The sequence below is a fragment of the Homo sapiens genome, chromosome 2 (genome assembly GCF_000001405.40).
Source record: "Homo sapiens chromosome 2, GRCh38.p14 Primary Assembly".
NCBI classification, from domain to species: domain Eukaryota; kingdom Metazoa; phylum Chordata; class Mammalia; order Primates; family Hominidae; genus Homo; species Homo sapiens.
This window is the reverse complement of record NC_000002.12, coordinates 143,655,916-143,670,349: the sequence shown is the minus strand read 5'-3', so window position 1 is coordinate 143,670,349 and position 14,434 is coordinate 143,655,916. Positions and strand designations below refer to the sequence as shown.

At 40.0% G+C, this 14,434-nt stretch overlaps 1 protein-coding gene and 1 long non-coding RNA gene across 14 annotated transcripts in view, besides 1 other annotated feature; one reads left to right on the top strand and one right to left on the bottom strand.

Annotated features, from left to right (window-relative positions):
- ARHGAP15 (Rho GTPase activating protein 15) overlaps positions 1–14,434 on the bottom strand; it is a 638,934-nt gene that overhangs the window by 98,003 nt on the left and 526,497 nt on the right. The window lies entirely within an intron of this gene.
- The window catches only part of ARHGAP15-AS1 (ARHGAP15 antisense RNA 1), a 135,343-nt gene that overhangs the window by 105,749 nt on the left and 15,160 nt on the right, over positions 1–14,434 (top strand). For 4 of the 5 annotated variants that reach the window (XR_007087251.1, XR_007087252.1, XR_007087250.1 and 1 more), the window contains 2 exons: positions 9,582–9,628; positions 14,165–14,225. This is a non-coding gene — a long non-coding RNA (ARHGAP15 antisense RNA 1). Of the gene's footprint in view, positions 1–8,753; positions 9,135–9,581; positions 9,629–14,164; positions 14,226–14,434 lie in introns of those variants that run through there. The other variant, XR_923393.3, reaches the window with a different exon arrangement.
- Positions 7,960–8,495: an enhancer, noted in NCBI's record as "H3K27ac-H3K4me1 hESC enhancer chr2:144419424-144419959 (GRCh37/hg19 assembly coordinates)". NCBI's record gives its function as "activates a minimal SCP1, AML or CMV promoter by ChIP-STARR-seq in primed H9 embryonic stem cells {active_cell/tissue: H9 hESC(primed)}" and the evidence as "EXISTENCE:reporter gene assay evidence [ECO:0000049][PMID:30033119]".

Sequence of the window (14,434 nt, the reverse complement as noted above, 5' to 3'; positions counted from 1 at the left end):
CCAATATAAGATACATGTTTTACACAGAAAATACGTTGACACCAGGAAAAAATACAGTAGCACTAGAAATACAGAGAAACAGGTGAGGTCTTCTCATTATGAGGGGAATAAAAGTAGAAGATATAAATAAAGGTGGCTGAAATGTGGTTGGGAGCAGAAGTGGGTTTGCTCAGAGGATGTTGAGAAGCAGCAAGAGCTTTTCTGTATGGGGTCTGATTCTTAGAGTTTTCAAGCCTCTTCTGTCTATTCCATGGTAATTCATGGACTGCCACACTGGGGCTCAATTCCTCCCTGGTGTCTGAAGTCTGCCTTTACCTTAAGCACTAATGGGCATTTAAGAAACTCTAGTCTACATGCCTTGCACACACAGCTTGAACAGGATGCTACCCTTGTTGCTTGTGTCAGCCTAAACTTAACTTCAGCATGATACACTGGACTTCCACTTGGTGCCCTTTTGCCTCCATTTTGGTGTTCTCAGATCAGATATATCCTGGCTCCCTCCATACTGGAGCCCTGTGGCCATCTCCCTGTCCTTCAGGTCTGAGAACTCTCATTTTCCCAGACTAGCAGAATACCCTGAGGCAAGTGTTTTGCTGGATTATAAAATATATTTTCTAGGATCTGAATGTTTGTGTTTCCTCAAAATTCGTATGTTGAAACCTAATTAGGTAATGGGATTAGTGCCTTTATGAAAGAGGCCCCAGAGAGCTGCCTTGCCCCTTCCAGCATTGTGGGGACACAGCTAGAAGGTGTCATCTGTGAACTAGGAAATGTAGTTCAACAAACCATGGCTGTTGCTATCATTACCTTTTAAAATTTCCACATGGTACCTATACTTGTGGCTGTCCTTCAAAGGTCTGAGCCATAACATGGGAGGTTTAGTTTGTTCATTCATTAATTCATTCAATCTGCTGTACTCTAGGCACTGTTCTAGGCATTAGATCTAAGTTTGTGCTTTCCTCACTGGGTTCCATCTTGGTATAGGTAAGTGATTCATGTCCAACTATGCCTCAAAATAGGAGACATGGGAGAGGTAATATAGTACAGTGGGTAAGGAAGCTGGCTTTGACATTACACAGGTGAAGTTTGAACACAAGCCTTTCTACTGGGCAGCTGAATAAGGTAAATAAGTTTTCTATACCTGAAATTTTCTTATCTGAAAAATAGAGACAATTATACTATCTATCTCCTAGGGTTGCTGTGAAGTTTAAGTGGATACTTTTAGTGTGCTTAGATTAGCACCTGGTCCATAAATGCTCAATCAATGTTAGCTATAATTAAGGTTTTAAGGTTTAAGCTCAGGGGTCTGAGGCCTGATAGTTTAGACTTTCAACCTGGTTACCAATTCCAATGTTAAAAAACAATTAAAATTCTGATTCTTTTATAGAGAGAAGACTATTTCTTTTAAATTATATTTTACCTCTAAATGAATTTAATTTTTCTCCCATCCTTCCTCTTTGGGAAATATTATTGGAACCAAATTTTGTGGTATAAATCAGAATAATTTTGTGGCCTAGATCCTTGATTTTATGGAGAATTCTTGAAGAGTTTCATTGGAATTGTCTATGTATTTAGCTTCAGATGGAAAGCTGAAATTACTCATCAAAGGATTGCAATAAGAGTGATTTGAACCACAAGTATATCAGAACTTCAGGCTTCTCTAAGACAAGAAAATAACTGACAGATGAACTGCAGAAAAAGAAATGGGGTGACTTATTTAGACTGAGATGGTCATGTAGGCTGTATAAAAAAGAAGAGTCAGATAACAGGCTTGTCAAACTAGCTAATTGCACCTGCAAACAAAGGACATAGTTTAAAGCATGGGTTTTAGAAAGGAATGCTAGTCTCTCATTTGTATTTTCAGCTGGATCTGCATACATGGGTAGGATCACCACAATTGACGATGTCATCTTTGAATAGGGAGGAATAGAGACTCACACAGAGCTTGCACCAGGGAGATTCTACACACAGATGAACAATTCATTAGCCATTCAGAGCTGAAAGCTGCCGCCTAACTTTGCTCTGTATGCTGAAAACAATGCAATGATCAAAAAAGAAAAAAAAAAAAAGAAAATAGAATCAAGGCAGTAAGGTAACCCTTTAGGAAGTGATGGGAGTGTTACATCAACATATTGTCAAGATCCAGATAAATCTGAATATCTACACAGTACTTTCTATCCTATGAGATTTGAAACTTAGACTTCATTTCAGATTTGCGAACAGTGTTACCTAGTTCCCATTCTAAAATTACTAAATCTACAAAACATGCTTCAACCCTTTCTCCTTCAACTTTTTTTTTTAAATGTTTCTCTTTTTAAAAATATGTATTTTTAAAAAATATATTTTTATATATGTATTTTTTGAGACAGGGTCTTGCTCTGTCACCCAGGCTGGAGTGCAGTGGTGCAAACATAGCTCGCTGCAGCCTCAACTTCCTGGGTTCAGGTGATCCTTCCATCTCAGCTTCCTGAGTAGATGGCACAACAGGCACATGCCACCAAGCCTGGCTAATTTTTGTATTTTTGGTAGAGAGAGTTTCACCACGTTGCCTAGGCTGGTTTCAAACTCCTGAGCTCAAGCAATCCACCTTGGCTTCCTGAAGTGCTGGGATTACAGGTGGGAGCCACCGTGCCCTGCCATCAGTGTATTTTTTTTTCTGAAATTTTATAATAAGTTATCACAAATTATGATAAATTGCATTTTCCCAAAGATTAAATTAACAAACTTCCCTTGAGCACTTCTTTTCTTTTTTTTTTTTTTTTTTTTTAATTTTTTTTAAATTATACTTTAAGTTTTAGGGTACATGTGCACATTGTTCAGGTTAGTTACATGTGTATACATGTGCCATGCTGGTGCGCTGCACCCACTAACTCGTCATCTAGCATTAGGTATATCTCCCAATGCTATCTCTCCCCCCTCCCCCGACCCCACCACAGTCCCCAGAGTGTGATATTCCCCTTCCTGTGTCCATGTGATCTCATTGTTCAATTCCCACCTATGAGTGAGAATATGCGGTGTTTGGTTTTTTGTTCTTGAGATAGTTTACTGAGAATGATGATTTCCAATTTCATCCATGTCCCTACAAACCACATGAACTCATCATTTTTTATGGCTGCATAGTATTCCATGGTGTATATGTGCCACATTTTCTTAATCCAGTCTATCATTGTTGGACATTTGGGTTGGTTCCAAGTCTTTGCTATTGTGAATAATGCCACAATAAACATACGTGTGCATGTGTCTTTATAGCAGCATGATTCATAGTCCTTTGGGTATATACCCAGTAATGGGATGGCTGGGTCAAATGGTATTTCTAGTTCTAGATCCCTGAGGAATCGCCACACTGACTTCCACAATGGTTGAACTAGTTTACAGTCCCACCAACAGTGTAAAAGTGTTCCTATTTCTCCACATCCTCTCCAGCACCTGTTGTTTCCTGACTTTTTAATGATTGCCATTCTAACTGGTGTGAGATGGTATCTCATTGCGGTTTAGATTTGCATTTCTCTGATGGCCAGTGATGATGAGCATTTTTTCATGTGTTTTTTGGCTGCATAAATGTCTTCTTTTGAGAAGTCTCTGTTCATGTCCTTAGCCCACTTTCTGATGGGGTTGTTTGTTTTTTTCTTGTAAATTTGTTTGAGTTCATTGTAGATTCTGGATATTAGCCCTTTGTCAGATGAGTAGGTTGCAAAAATTTTCTCCCATGTTGTAGGTTGCCTGTTCACTCTGATGGTAGTTTCTTTTGCTGTGCAGAAGCTCTTTAGTTTAATTAGATCCCATTTGTCAATTTTGTCTTTTGTTGCCATTGCTTTTGGTGTTTTGGACATGAAGTCCTTGCCCATGCCTATGTCCTGAATGGTAATGCCTAGGTTTTCTTCTAGGGTTTTTATGGTTTTAGGTCTAAGGTTTAAGGCTTTAATCCATCTTGAATTGATTTTTGTATAAGGTGTAAGGAAGCGATACAGTTTCAGCTTTGTACATATGGCTAGCCAGTTATCCCAGCACCATTTATTAAATAGGGAATCCTTTCCCCATTGCTTGTTTTTCTCAGGTTTGTCAAAGATCAGATAGTTGTAGACATGCGGCATTATTTCTGAGGGCTCTGTTCTGTTCCATTGATCTATATCTCTGTTTTGGTACCAGTACCATGCTGTTTTGGTTACTGTAGTCTTGTAGTATAGTTTGAAGTCAGGTAGTGTGATGCCTCCAGCTTTGTTCTTTTGGCTTAGGATTGCCTTGGGGATGTGGGCTCTTTTTTGGTTCCATATGAACTTTAAAGTAGTTTTTTCCAATTCTGTGAAGAAAGTCATTGGTAGCTTGATGGGGTTGGCATTGAATCTGTAAATTACCTTGGGCAGTATGGCCATTTTCACGATATTGATTCTTCCTACCCATGAGCATGGAATGTTCTTCCATTTGTTTGTATCCTCTTTTATTTCCTTGAGCAGTGGTTTGTAGTTCTCCTTGAAGAGGTCCTTCACATCCCTTGTAAGTTGGATTCCTAGGTATTTTATTCTCTTTGAAGCAATTGTGAATGGGAGTTCACTCATGATTTGGCTTTCTGTTTGTCTGTTATTGGTGTATAAGAATGCCTGTGATTTTTGTACATTGATTTTGTATCCTGAGACTTTGCTGAAGTTGCTTATCAGCTTAAGGAGATTTTGGGCTGAGACAATGGGGTTTTCTAGATATACAATCATGTCGTCTGCAAACAGGGACAATTTGACTTCCTCTTTTCCTAATTGAATACCCTTTATTTCCTTCTCCTGCCTAATTGCCCTGGCCAGAACTTCCAACACTATGTTGAATAGGAGTGGTGAGAGAGGGCATCCCTGTCTTGTGCCAGTTTTCAAAGGGAATGCTTCCAGTTTTTGCCCATTCAGTATGATATTGGCTGTGGGTTTGTCATAGATAGCTCTTATTATTTTGAAATATGTCCCATCAATACCTAATTTATTGAGAGTTTTTAGCATGAAGGGTTGTTGAATTTTGTCAAAGGCTTTTTCTGCATCTATTGAGATAATCATGTGGTTTTTGTCTTTGGCTCTGTTTATATGCTGGATTACATTTATTGATTTGCGTATATTGAACCAGCCTTGCATCCCAGGGATGAAGCCCACTTGATCATGGTGGATAAGCTTTATGATGTGCTGCTGGATTCGTTTTGCCAGTATTTTATTGAGGATTTTTGCATCAATGTTCATCAAGGATATTGGTCTAAAATTCTCTTTTTTGGTTGTGTCTCTGCCAGGCTTTGGTATCAGAATGATGCTGGCCTCATAAAATGAGTTAGGGAGGATTCTCTCTTTTTCTATTGATTGGAATAGTTTCAGAAGGAATGGTACCAGTTCCTCCTTGTACCTCTGATAGAATTCGGCTGTGAATCCATCTGGTCCTGGACTCTTTTTGGTTGGTAAACTATTGATTATTGCCACAATTTCAGCTCCTGTTATTGGTCTATTCAGAGATTCAACTTCTTCCTGGTTTAGTCTTGGGATGGTGTATGTGTCGAGGAATTTATCCATTTCTTCTAGATTTTCTGGTTTATTTGAGTAGAGGTGTTTGTAGTATTCTCTGATGGTAGTTTGTATTTCTGTGGGATCGGTGGTGATATCCCCTTTATCATTTTTATTGTGTCTATTTGATTCTTCTCTCTTTTTTTCTTTATTAGTCTTGCTAGTGGTCTATCAATTTTGTTGATCCTTTCAAAAAACCAGCTCCTGGATTCATTAATTTTTTGAAGGGTTTTTTGTGTCTCTATTTCCTTCAGTTCTGCTCTGATTTTAGTTATTTCTTGCCTTCTGCTAGCTTTTGAATGTGTTTGCTCTTGCTTTTCTAGTTCTTTTAATTGTGATGTTAGGGTGCCAATTTTGGATCTTTACTGCTTTCTCTTGTGGGCATTTAGTGCTATAAATTTCCCTCTACACACTGCTTTGAATGTGTCCCAGAGATTCTGGTATGTTGTGTCTTTGTTCTCGTTGGTTTCAAAGAACATCTTTATTTCTGCCTTCATTTCGTTATGTATCCAGTAGTCATTCAGGAGCAGGTTGTTCAGTTTCCATGTAGTTGAGCGGTTTTGAGTGAGATTCCTAATCCTGAGTTCTAGTTTGATTGCACTGTGGTCTGAGAGATAGTTTGTTGTAATCTCTGTTCTTTTACGTTTGCTGAGGAGAGCTTTACTTCCAACTCTGTGGTCAATTTTGGAATAGGTGTGGTGTGGTGTGGTGCTGAAAAAAATGTATATTCTGTTGATTTGGGGTGGAGAGTTCTGTAGATGTCTATTAGGTCCGCTTGGTGCAGAGCTGAGTTCAATTCCTGGGTATCCTTGTTGACTTTCTGTCTCGTTGATCTGTCTAATGTTGACAGTGGGGTGTTAAAGTCTCCCATTATTAATGTGTGGGAGTCTAAATCTCTTTGTAGGTCACTCAGGACTTGCTTTATGAATCTGGGTGCTCCTGTATTGGGTGCATATATATTTAGGTTAGTTCTTCTTGTTGAATTGATCCCTTTACCATTATGTAATGGCCTTCTTTGTCCCTTTTGATCTTTGTTGGTTTAAAGTCTGTTTTATCAGAGACTAGGATTGCAACCCCTGCCTTTTTTTGTTTTCCATTTGCTTGGTAGATCTTCCTCCATCCTTTTATTTTGAGCCTATATGTGTCTCTGCACATGAGATGGGTTTCCTGAATACAGCACACTGATGGGTCTTGACTCTTTATCCAATTTGCCAGTCTGTGTCTTTTAATTGGAAAATTTAGTCCATTTACATTTAAAGTTAATATTGTTATGTGTGAATTTGATCCTGTCATTATGATGTTAGCTGGTGATTTTGCTCATTAGTTGATGCAGTTTCTTCCTAGTCTTGATGGTCTTTACATTTTGGCATGATTTTGCAGCGGCTGGTACCGGTTGTTCCTTTCCATGTTTAGCGCTTCCTTCAGGAGCTCTTTTAGGGCAGGCCTGGTGGTGACAAAATCTCTCAGCATTTGCTTGTCTGTAAAGTATTTTATTTCTCCTTCCCTTATGAAGCTTAGTTTGGCTGGGTATGAAATTCTGGGTTGAAAATTCTTTTCTTTAAGAATGTTGAATATTGGCCCCCACTCTCTTCTGGCTTGTAGGGTTTCTGCCGAGAGATCCGCTGTTAGTCTGATGGGCTTCCCTTTGAGGGTAACCCGACCTTTCTCTCTGGCTGCCCTTAACATTTTTTCCTTCATTTCAACTTTGGTGAATCTGACAATTATGTGTCTTGGAGTTGCTCTTCTCGAGGAGTATCTTTGTGGCGTTCTCTGTATTTCCTGAATCTGAACGTTGGCCTGCCTTGCTAGATTGGGGAAGTTCTCCTGGATAATATCCTGCAGAGTGTTTTCCAACTTGGTTCCATTCTCCCCATCACTTTCAGGTACGCCAATCAGACGTAGAGTTGGTCTTTTCACATAGTCCCATATTTCTTGGAGGCTTTGCTCATTTCTTTTTATTCTTTTTTCTCTAAACTTCCCTTCTTGCTTCATTTCATTCATTTCATCTTCCATTGCTGATACCCTTTCTTCCAGTTGATCGCATCGGCTCCTGAGGCTTCTGCATTCTTCACGTAGTTCTCGAGCCTTGGTTTTCAGCTCCATCAGCTCCTTTAAGCACTTCTCTGTATTGGTTATTCTAGTTATACATTCTTCTAAATTTTTTTCAAAGTTTTCAACTTCTTTGCCTTTGGTTTGAATGTCCTCCCGTAGCTCAGAGTAATTTGATCGTCTGAAGCCTTCTTCTCTCGGCTCGTCAAAGTCATTCTCCATCCAGCTTTGTTCCGTTGCTGGTGAGGAACTGCGTTCCTTTGGAGGAGGAGAGGCACTCTGCGTTTTAGAGTTTCCAGTTTTCTCTTCTGTTTTTTCCCCATCTTTGTGGTTTTATCTACTTTTGGTCTTTGATGATGGTGATGTACAGATGGGTTTTTGGTGTGGATGTCCTTTCTGTTTGTTAGTTTTCCTTCTAACAGACAGGACCCTCAGCTGCAGGTCTGTTGGAATACCCTGCCGTGTGAGGTGTCAGTGTGCCCCTGCTGGGGGGTGCCTCCCAGTTAGGCTGCTCGGGGGTCAGGGGTCAGGGACCCACTTGAGGAGGCAGTCTGCCCGTTCTCAGATCTCCAGCTGCATGCTGGGAGAACCACTGCTCTCTTCAAAGCTGTCAGACAGGCATATTTAAGTCTGCAGAGGTTACTGCTTTTTGTTTGTCTGTGCCCTGCCCCCAGAGGTGGAGCCTACAGAGGCAGGCAGGCCTTCTTGAGCTGTGGTGGGCTCCACCCAGTTGGAGCTTCCCGGCTGCTATGTTTACCTAAGCAAGCCTGGGCAATGGCGGGCGCCCCTCCCCCAGCCTCGCTGCCGCCTTGCAGTTTGGTCTCAGACTGCTGTGCTAGCAATCAGCGAGACTCTGTGGGCGTAGGACCCTCCGAGCCAGGTGCGGGATATAATCTCGTGGTGCGCCATTTTTTAAGCCGGTCCGAAAAGCGTAATATTCGGGTGGGAGTGACCCGATTTTCCAGGTGCGTCCGTCACCCCTTTGACTCGGAAAGGGAACTCCCTGACCCCTTGCGCTTCCCAAGTGAGGCAATGCCTCACCCTGCTTCGGCTCACGCACGGTGTGCGCACCCACTGACCTGTGCCCACTGTCTGGCACTCCCTAGTGAGATGAACCCGGTACCTCAGATGGAAATGCAGAAATCACCCGTCTTCTGCGTCGCTCACACTGGGAGCTGTAGACTGGAGCTGTTCCTATTCGGCCATCTTGGCTCCTCCCGAGCACTTATTTTCAAGGAGTCATCATTTAAAATCTTATTTTCTTAATAAGAACACATACTCCTTAAGAAGACATACTTTTTTTGTACCCTTGTCTCTCTCATTTATTCCTTCTCCCTCTATTCATAATTGACATTAATTGAACATTCTTTGTTTTATTAATCTATATAAAAACAATGTCACATTTCAAGTGTTTATCATGTAAGCAATGTTATATCGACTTAACGTGGTAGGCAGAATAATAGACCTTCAATGATGATGGCCCTATCCTAATCTCTGGAACCTATGAAAATGCTATCTTCGTGGCAAAGGGGACTTTGCAAGTGTGATCAAGTTAAGGACTTTGAGGTGAGGAGATTATCCTGGATTATTGGGGTGGGCCTGATCTGATCACATTGGTCTTTAAAAGCAAAGAAATCCTTGTTGTGGTCAGTGAGAGACATGAGAATGGAAGAATGTCAGAGAGATGCAACGTTGCTGGTTTTGAAGATGCAGGAAGCTGGTTATTCCCAGTTTAGGGAATGTGGGAGGCCTCTAGAAACTGGAAAAGGCAAGAACATGGGTTCTCCCTAGAGCCTTCAGACAGAAACACAGTTCTAAGAACACTCTGATTTTAACCCAGTGAGACCAGTGCCAGACTTCTAAACTACAGAACTGTAAGAAGTTGCTAAGTTTGTGGTAATCTGTTACAACAGCAATAGAAAACTAATAGAACGTGGGATGAGATACAATGAGGACACAGCCTTGTGTTATTTGCTGGCCATCACAAACTCTCTTTGTTGTTTCTACTCCTAGGTAAAAGGTCATTAATTAGGAGAAGATTTATCTCAAGGAAACGTATGGTAAGCCCAATCTTTTCTTTAAGCACATAGCCCTTACTTTTCAATTTATCATACTGGTACTCAAATCAAGATGACCCCAGTGGAGATCCATCACATGTACAGTTCATTGAGTTTTACACAGGTCTGTCGCTAAGTGAGTAATTTCCTGAAATGATCTCCTAATAATTCATAAAGTGTTCATTTTAGGGTTCATTCTTATTCTTACGATTTTAAAATAAAGTCTTCCTTGTTTCCAACCCTTTGATTCTTAGACAGGTTAAACCACTAACCCTGCTTTAATCTGTTAGGGTACATTTCCCTTTGTTGGTTCCCAAATTCTGCCAAAAACTATGGAACGTTGGTATCTGCTTGAAAGCAGTATCGGCAAAAACAACTTTTCCCCAAATGCAATTGGAATTCCCATTGTCTCCTAAAATTTCTGGGATTACAGAATAGGAAAGACATTCAACAGTTGAAGAATTATACAGAATGTGGAGGAGGAAGGAGGAATGTATTGATACAATTTAAAAAAAACAGATCAAATTGGTACACTTTAAGTAATAGGTTTTACAGAGAGGTAAGTTTGAGTGGAAGAGTTAGCATGGAAGGGATGAAGGACCCCATCATCCTAGTCTATGAAGTTTGCAATTATTCTTGTCACATGGCAGCAAAACATTTGAGACTCACATCTGTTGTATTTTGGAACACAGACCACGTGTCTACCCACAGATTAGGAACAATGGTAGGAAAAATTCAAAATTCAGGATGTTGGCCCATGGTGGCTACTTCTAGCATGTTTCCTTAAGATGAACACCCACTTATTACTTCAAATTCTCTTGGGGGAAAAAAAAACTCCAAGATAAAAAGCATTGACTAAACCAAGTGCCAGAGAAATGGGCAGAACACAGAAACTAGTTGCTAAGACATGGGTATTTCCAGAATTCCCACAAAAGACTTCTAGAACTAATGAAAGCTGATAAATAGACTAGAAACAAACCAGAAGTCTTCTAAATTTTTAAAAGGGCCTGTATTACCACATAAACCCATGCCTGCCTAGGAAGGGCAGACAACTCCTTAATGTCTCCACTAGCCCCTAGGGCGGTAGTGGCTTGGAAGGGATACTGCTAGAGAATGTCCTCCTTTCTCACCCGTGACTGTGGAAAGCAATGGATACCTAAGAATCTTTCAGAAAGTAGAACTAAGAGCTATCAGACTGGCTGACCCAGGAAATCACTACCCAGCCAGGGCATGAAAGACACACTCTTCTTGGTCAGAATATCACACAAACTACCATAAGCTCCTCACTTTTCCAAATAGAATTTTTTTTAAAAAAATTTAATGAATAAAGATGAATATATTTAAGCTGCACAATGTGATAATTTGATAAATGTATACACTGTGTAATAGTTACCACAAGTAAAGTAATTAACATGTCCATCACCCCCTATGCCGCATATTAGATCCCCACCAAATAGAAATTTTAGTTATTGTTATCCCTTTTTTCCCTACTTACAAATTTTAAGTGCTTTGGTGGCGGATAGCTATTGTTAAGATAGAAAAGTCACATCACACCTCTGATTTTTGAAGCCAGCTATATTTGGAACATATATGGAAGAGTAGCTGTATGAGGTTGCATGAGCAGTGAGTGGTTTCAAGTAGATACGAGGGCTGTGAAAGTAAATGTTGAACAGAAGGGTGCATGTGCTTGATAGGTAGTCAGTGAGTTGGGCAGGAGATACTGTTGACTGTCTATCCTACATCTATTCTTCTCCTTCTCTTTCTAAAGAGAATTCTGGTATTGTTCAGTGATCTATTATAGGACTCATCATTAGCCGAACTCAGTCCCTGATTCGAGATTAAGCTGTGATTAACTCAAATGGAAATTTCCTAGCTATATTAAGAAATGGGCACGTGATAGAAGTCAAATCAATTAAGTGAAAGGAAGTGTTTGTTTGAGATTCCTGAAAAATGCCCTCCTCTATCTCTTACCAGAAGTGACAGAGGAAGGACATGGTTTGTGTTGCTACTGGTGAGCATTCTCCACAATGCTGCAATCAGCATTAGGATGAAGCCAGCTCTACAGGTGGCAGAGCAGAAAAAAAAATGGGCCTGAGTCTGTGATCTCCATCTTTGAATCCCCATATGAACAAACCCTGTAATTTACCCTACCTCTGGATATCTAGTTCCATGAGCCAAAAAATTGCCTCTTTCCTTAAACCCTTTTGAGTTGATTTTCTGTCAATTACAGCTAAACCCTATCCAACTGACACAGTACTTGATACCAACATAAGAATAATTGGAAGTCTCTCAGTAGTTTACAGGAGAAAATAATTAGGAAAGTTTAATTCTGAGATACAAGATATGAACATAATGGTTAAGAGTATAGGCTTTTGATACAAATACACCCGAAGTTCTACCCTGCTCTGTCCATTACTGCCTATACATGTCTTCTATGAACTCTAGTCTTCACATTGGTACGATGAAGATAAACCTAGCTTATAAGAGAGTGGTAGAGAGTAAACAAGATAATGCACATAAAATTCCTGTCATGAAGTAGATGTTCAATAATTGCAACCATCATTTTAATGGCCAGAGAACAAATTAAGATCCCTTGGTAAGAATTTCTGTACAGGAAGATGGCTCAAGAGGAATCCAGTGCTCTAAAAGATGAAATTCTGGGAATTACAATTTCAAATGATTCTGATGAGAAAGAAAAGTAGTTACTGAAGGAACTGATGTGGCCGCATAGGGATGTTTTCAAAAAATGTATATTGAAAGATAGGAGAGAACTGTTATGACAGGGAATGAATACAAAACAGGAACACCAAACTGAAGGAACAGAATCAGAAGGACTGAGGTACTGAAATAATTTGAACTGAACAAAGTCTCGAAATTATGTCCCAAGGCCACAATAGGAACAAATCAATGACAAATCAACAAATCAAATCAGGAGGGGAGAGACTGTGACATGAAGAAATGACAGGAAAATAAGACTGTTTAAAATCTGAATTAAGCAATAAGCGATATGATAGACATAGGTGGAATGACTAGAGAACAAAACAATAGTTTACTCATTTTCAAGGTAAAATGCTAGTTCTCTGAACTTTTAAATTATACTTTGAAACATTACAGGCCATGTTGACTTGATTTTTGCATAGCTATGAAAAACATTATGAAATAAGATATCATGTAAATTAGATTCATATCAAATTGAATTCATAATAAATTCCAGGAAGAAATCTTGCTAGTACAAAAAGACAACTGTTCTTTAGCCTGAAGTGTACATCAGCGACATACTATTTTTCTGAATAAGCGTGGTATTCAGTTTGCCTCAGAAACACATAAACATAGTATTTCATTTGTACAGAAACAGTTTTTGTTTTGTTTTGTTTTTAAGATGCGGAGCCTCACTCTGTTGCCCAGGCTGGAGTGCAGTGGCGCGATCTCGGCTCACTGCAAGCTCCGCCTCCAGGGTTCACGCTATTCTCCTGCCTCAGCCTCCGGAGTAGCTGGGACTACAAGCGCCAGCCGCAACGCCCGGCTAATTTTTTTGGATTTTTAGTAGAGAGGGGGTTTCACCGTGTTAGCCAGGATGGTCTCGATCTCCTGACCTCACGATCTGCCCACCTCAGCCTCCCAAAGTGCTGGGATTACAGGCGTGAGCCACCACGCTCGGCCACAAATAGCTTTTTTAAAGTATTTGATCAACAATAAATTCTAAAAATGTTTATTAGTGATTTTACTAATGGATAACATGTCCTCACTCCTACACACACACACACACACACACACACACACACACACACACCAGAAACTTTGTCTTAGAAACCTTGTCCATGTCTGTCCAAAATAGAAGTCAGAAGGGAGGTCTTTGTGACCAAGTTCTGCTTTAGGTCTGACCCAGTTAAATGTCCTGAAGAGGAGGAGTACTCTTTCTCTGACTCAGGAGGCCAGGAGAGAACACAGTTTTCTCACCAAGGAAGGCTTTGGAAATAATTCACATGCAGGTGAACTGCTTTTAGAAAGCACTTTTCCGTTACCTGCCCCCAGAGTGAAGTTCAAAAGAAAAGGGAATAAAATGTTCTCAATCAAGATCTCTGGGCTGTGGTGTTTTCTACCACTGGAGAGTTGCTTGATTCAGAACATTATCACCTTCAAGGAATAAGAAACAGTCATTTCTTTACCCAGACAGTCTTTTCATCTTGGAACAAGGGGCCTAAAAAGCTATTCTCACAGAAGGCTTTTCTTGCTTTTAAAAACACAATCAAATTGGTTCCAGTGGAGTGGGATATAAGGAAGGGTACCTCTTCTACTTTTGCACAAGTAATTGACTAGCCTAATTAGACTGCCCAAGTGTTTAGATACCATGGTGATGGGCACTTTATAAATACTGTATATAACTAAACCGGGAGCATCACTTTTGACAATAATAGCCATAGTTAGCTCTGATAGGTTGGGAAGACACAAGAAGCCAAATGCTTTGCCACATTCCTTAACATTTATTGATAGTTATTTATGTTGACACTTTCAGCCATTTGTGGTGTCTTTTTACTCTAGATCTGTGGGTAGTGTGGTCAAAGATGACTTCTGCAGATAAAAACATCATCTTGTATGCAAGGTAAGCATCATTGTGGATTCTGCACAATAACTAAGAAACTATTATAACTAAGAAATATTATAACTTATAAGCAACTGCCATCCAGAAATCAAGCAGCACTTAATCAGTTCAGAGTGAGAATGTGCTTAAACAAGATCTGCAGTGAGTGAAAAACCACATACTGCATAGAAGCTAATGGCTTTTTGATCCTAGAAGAAAACCAAATGATA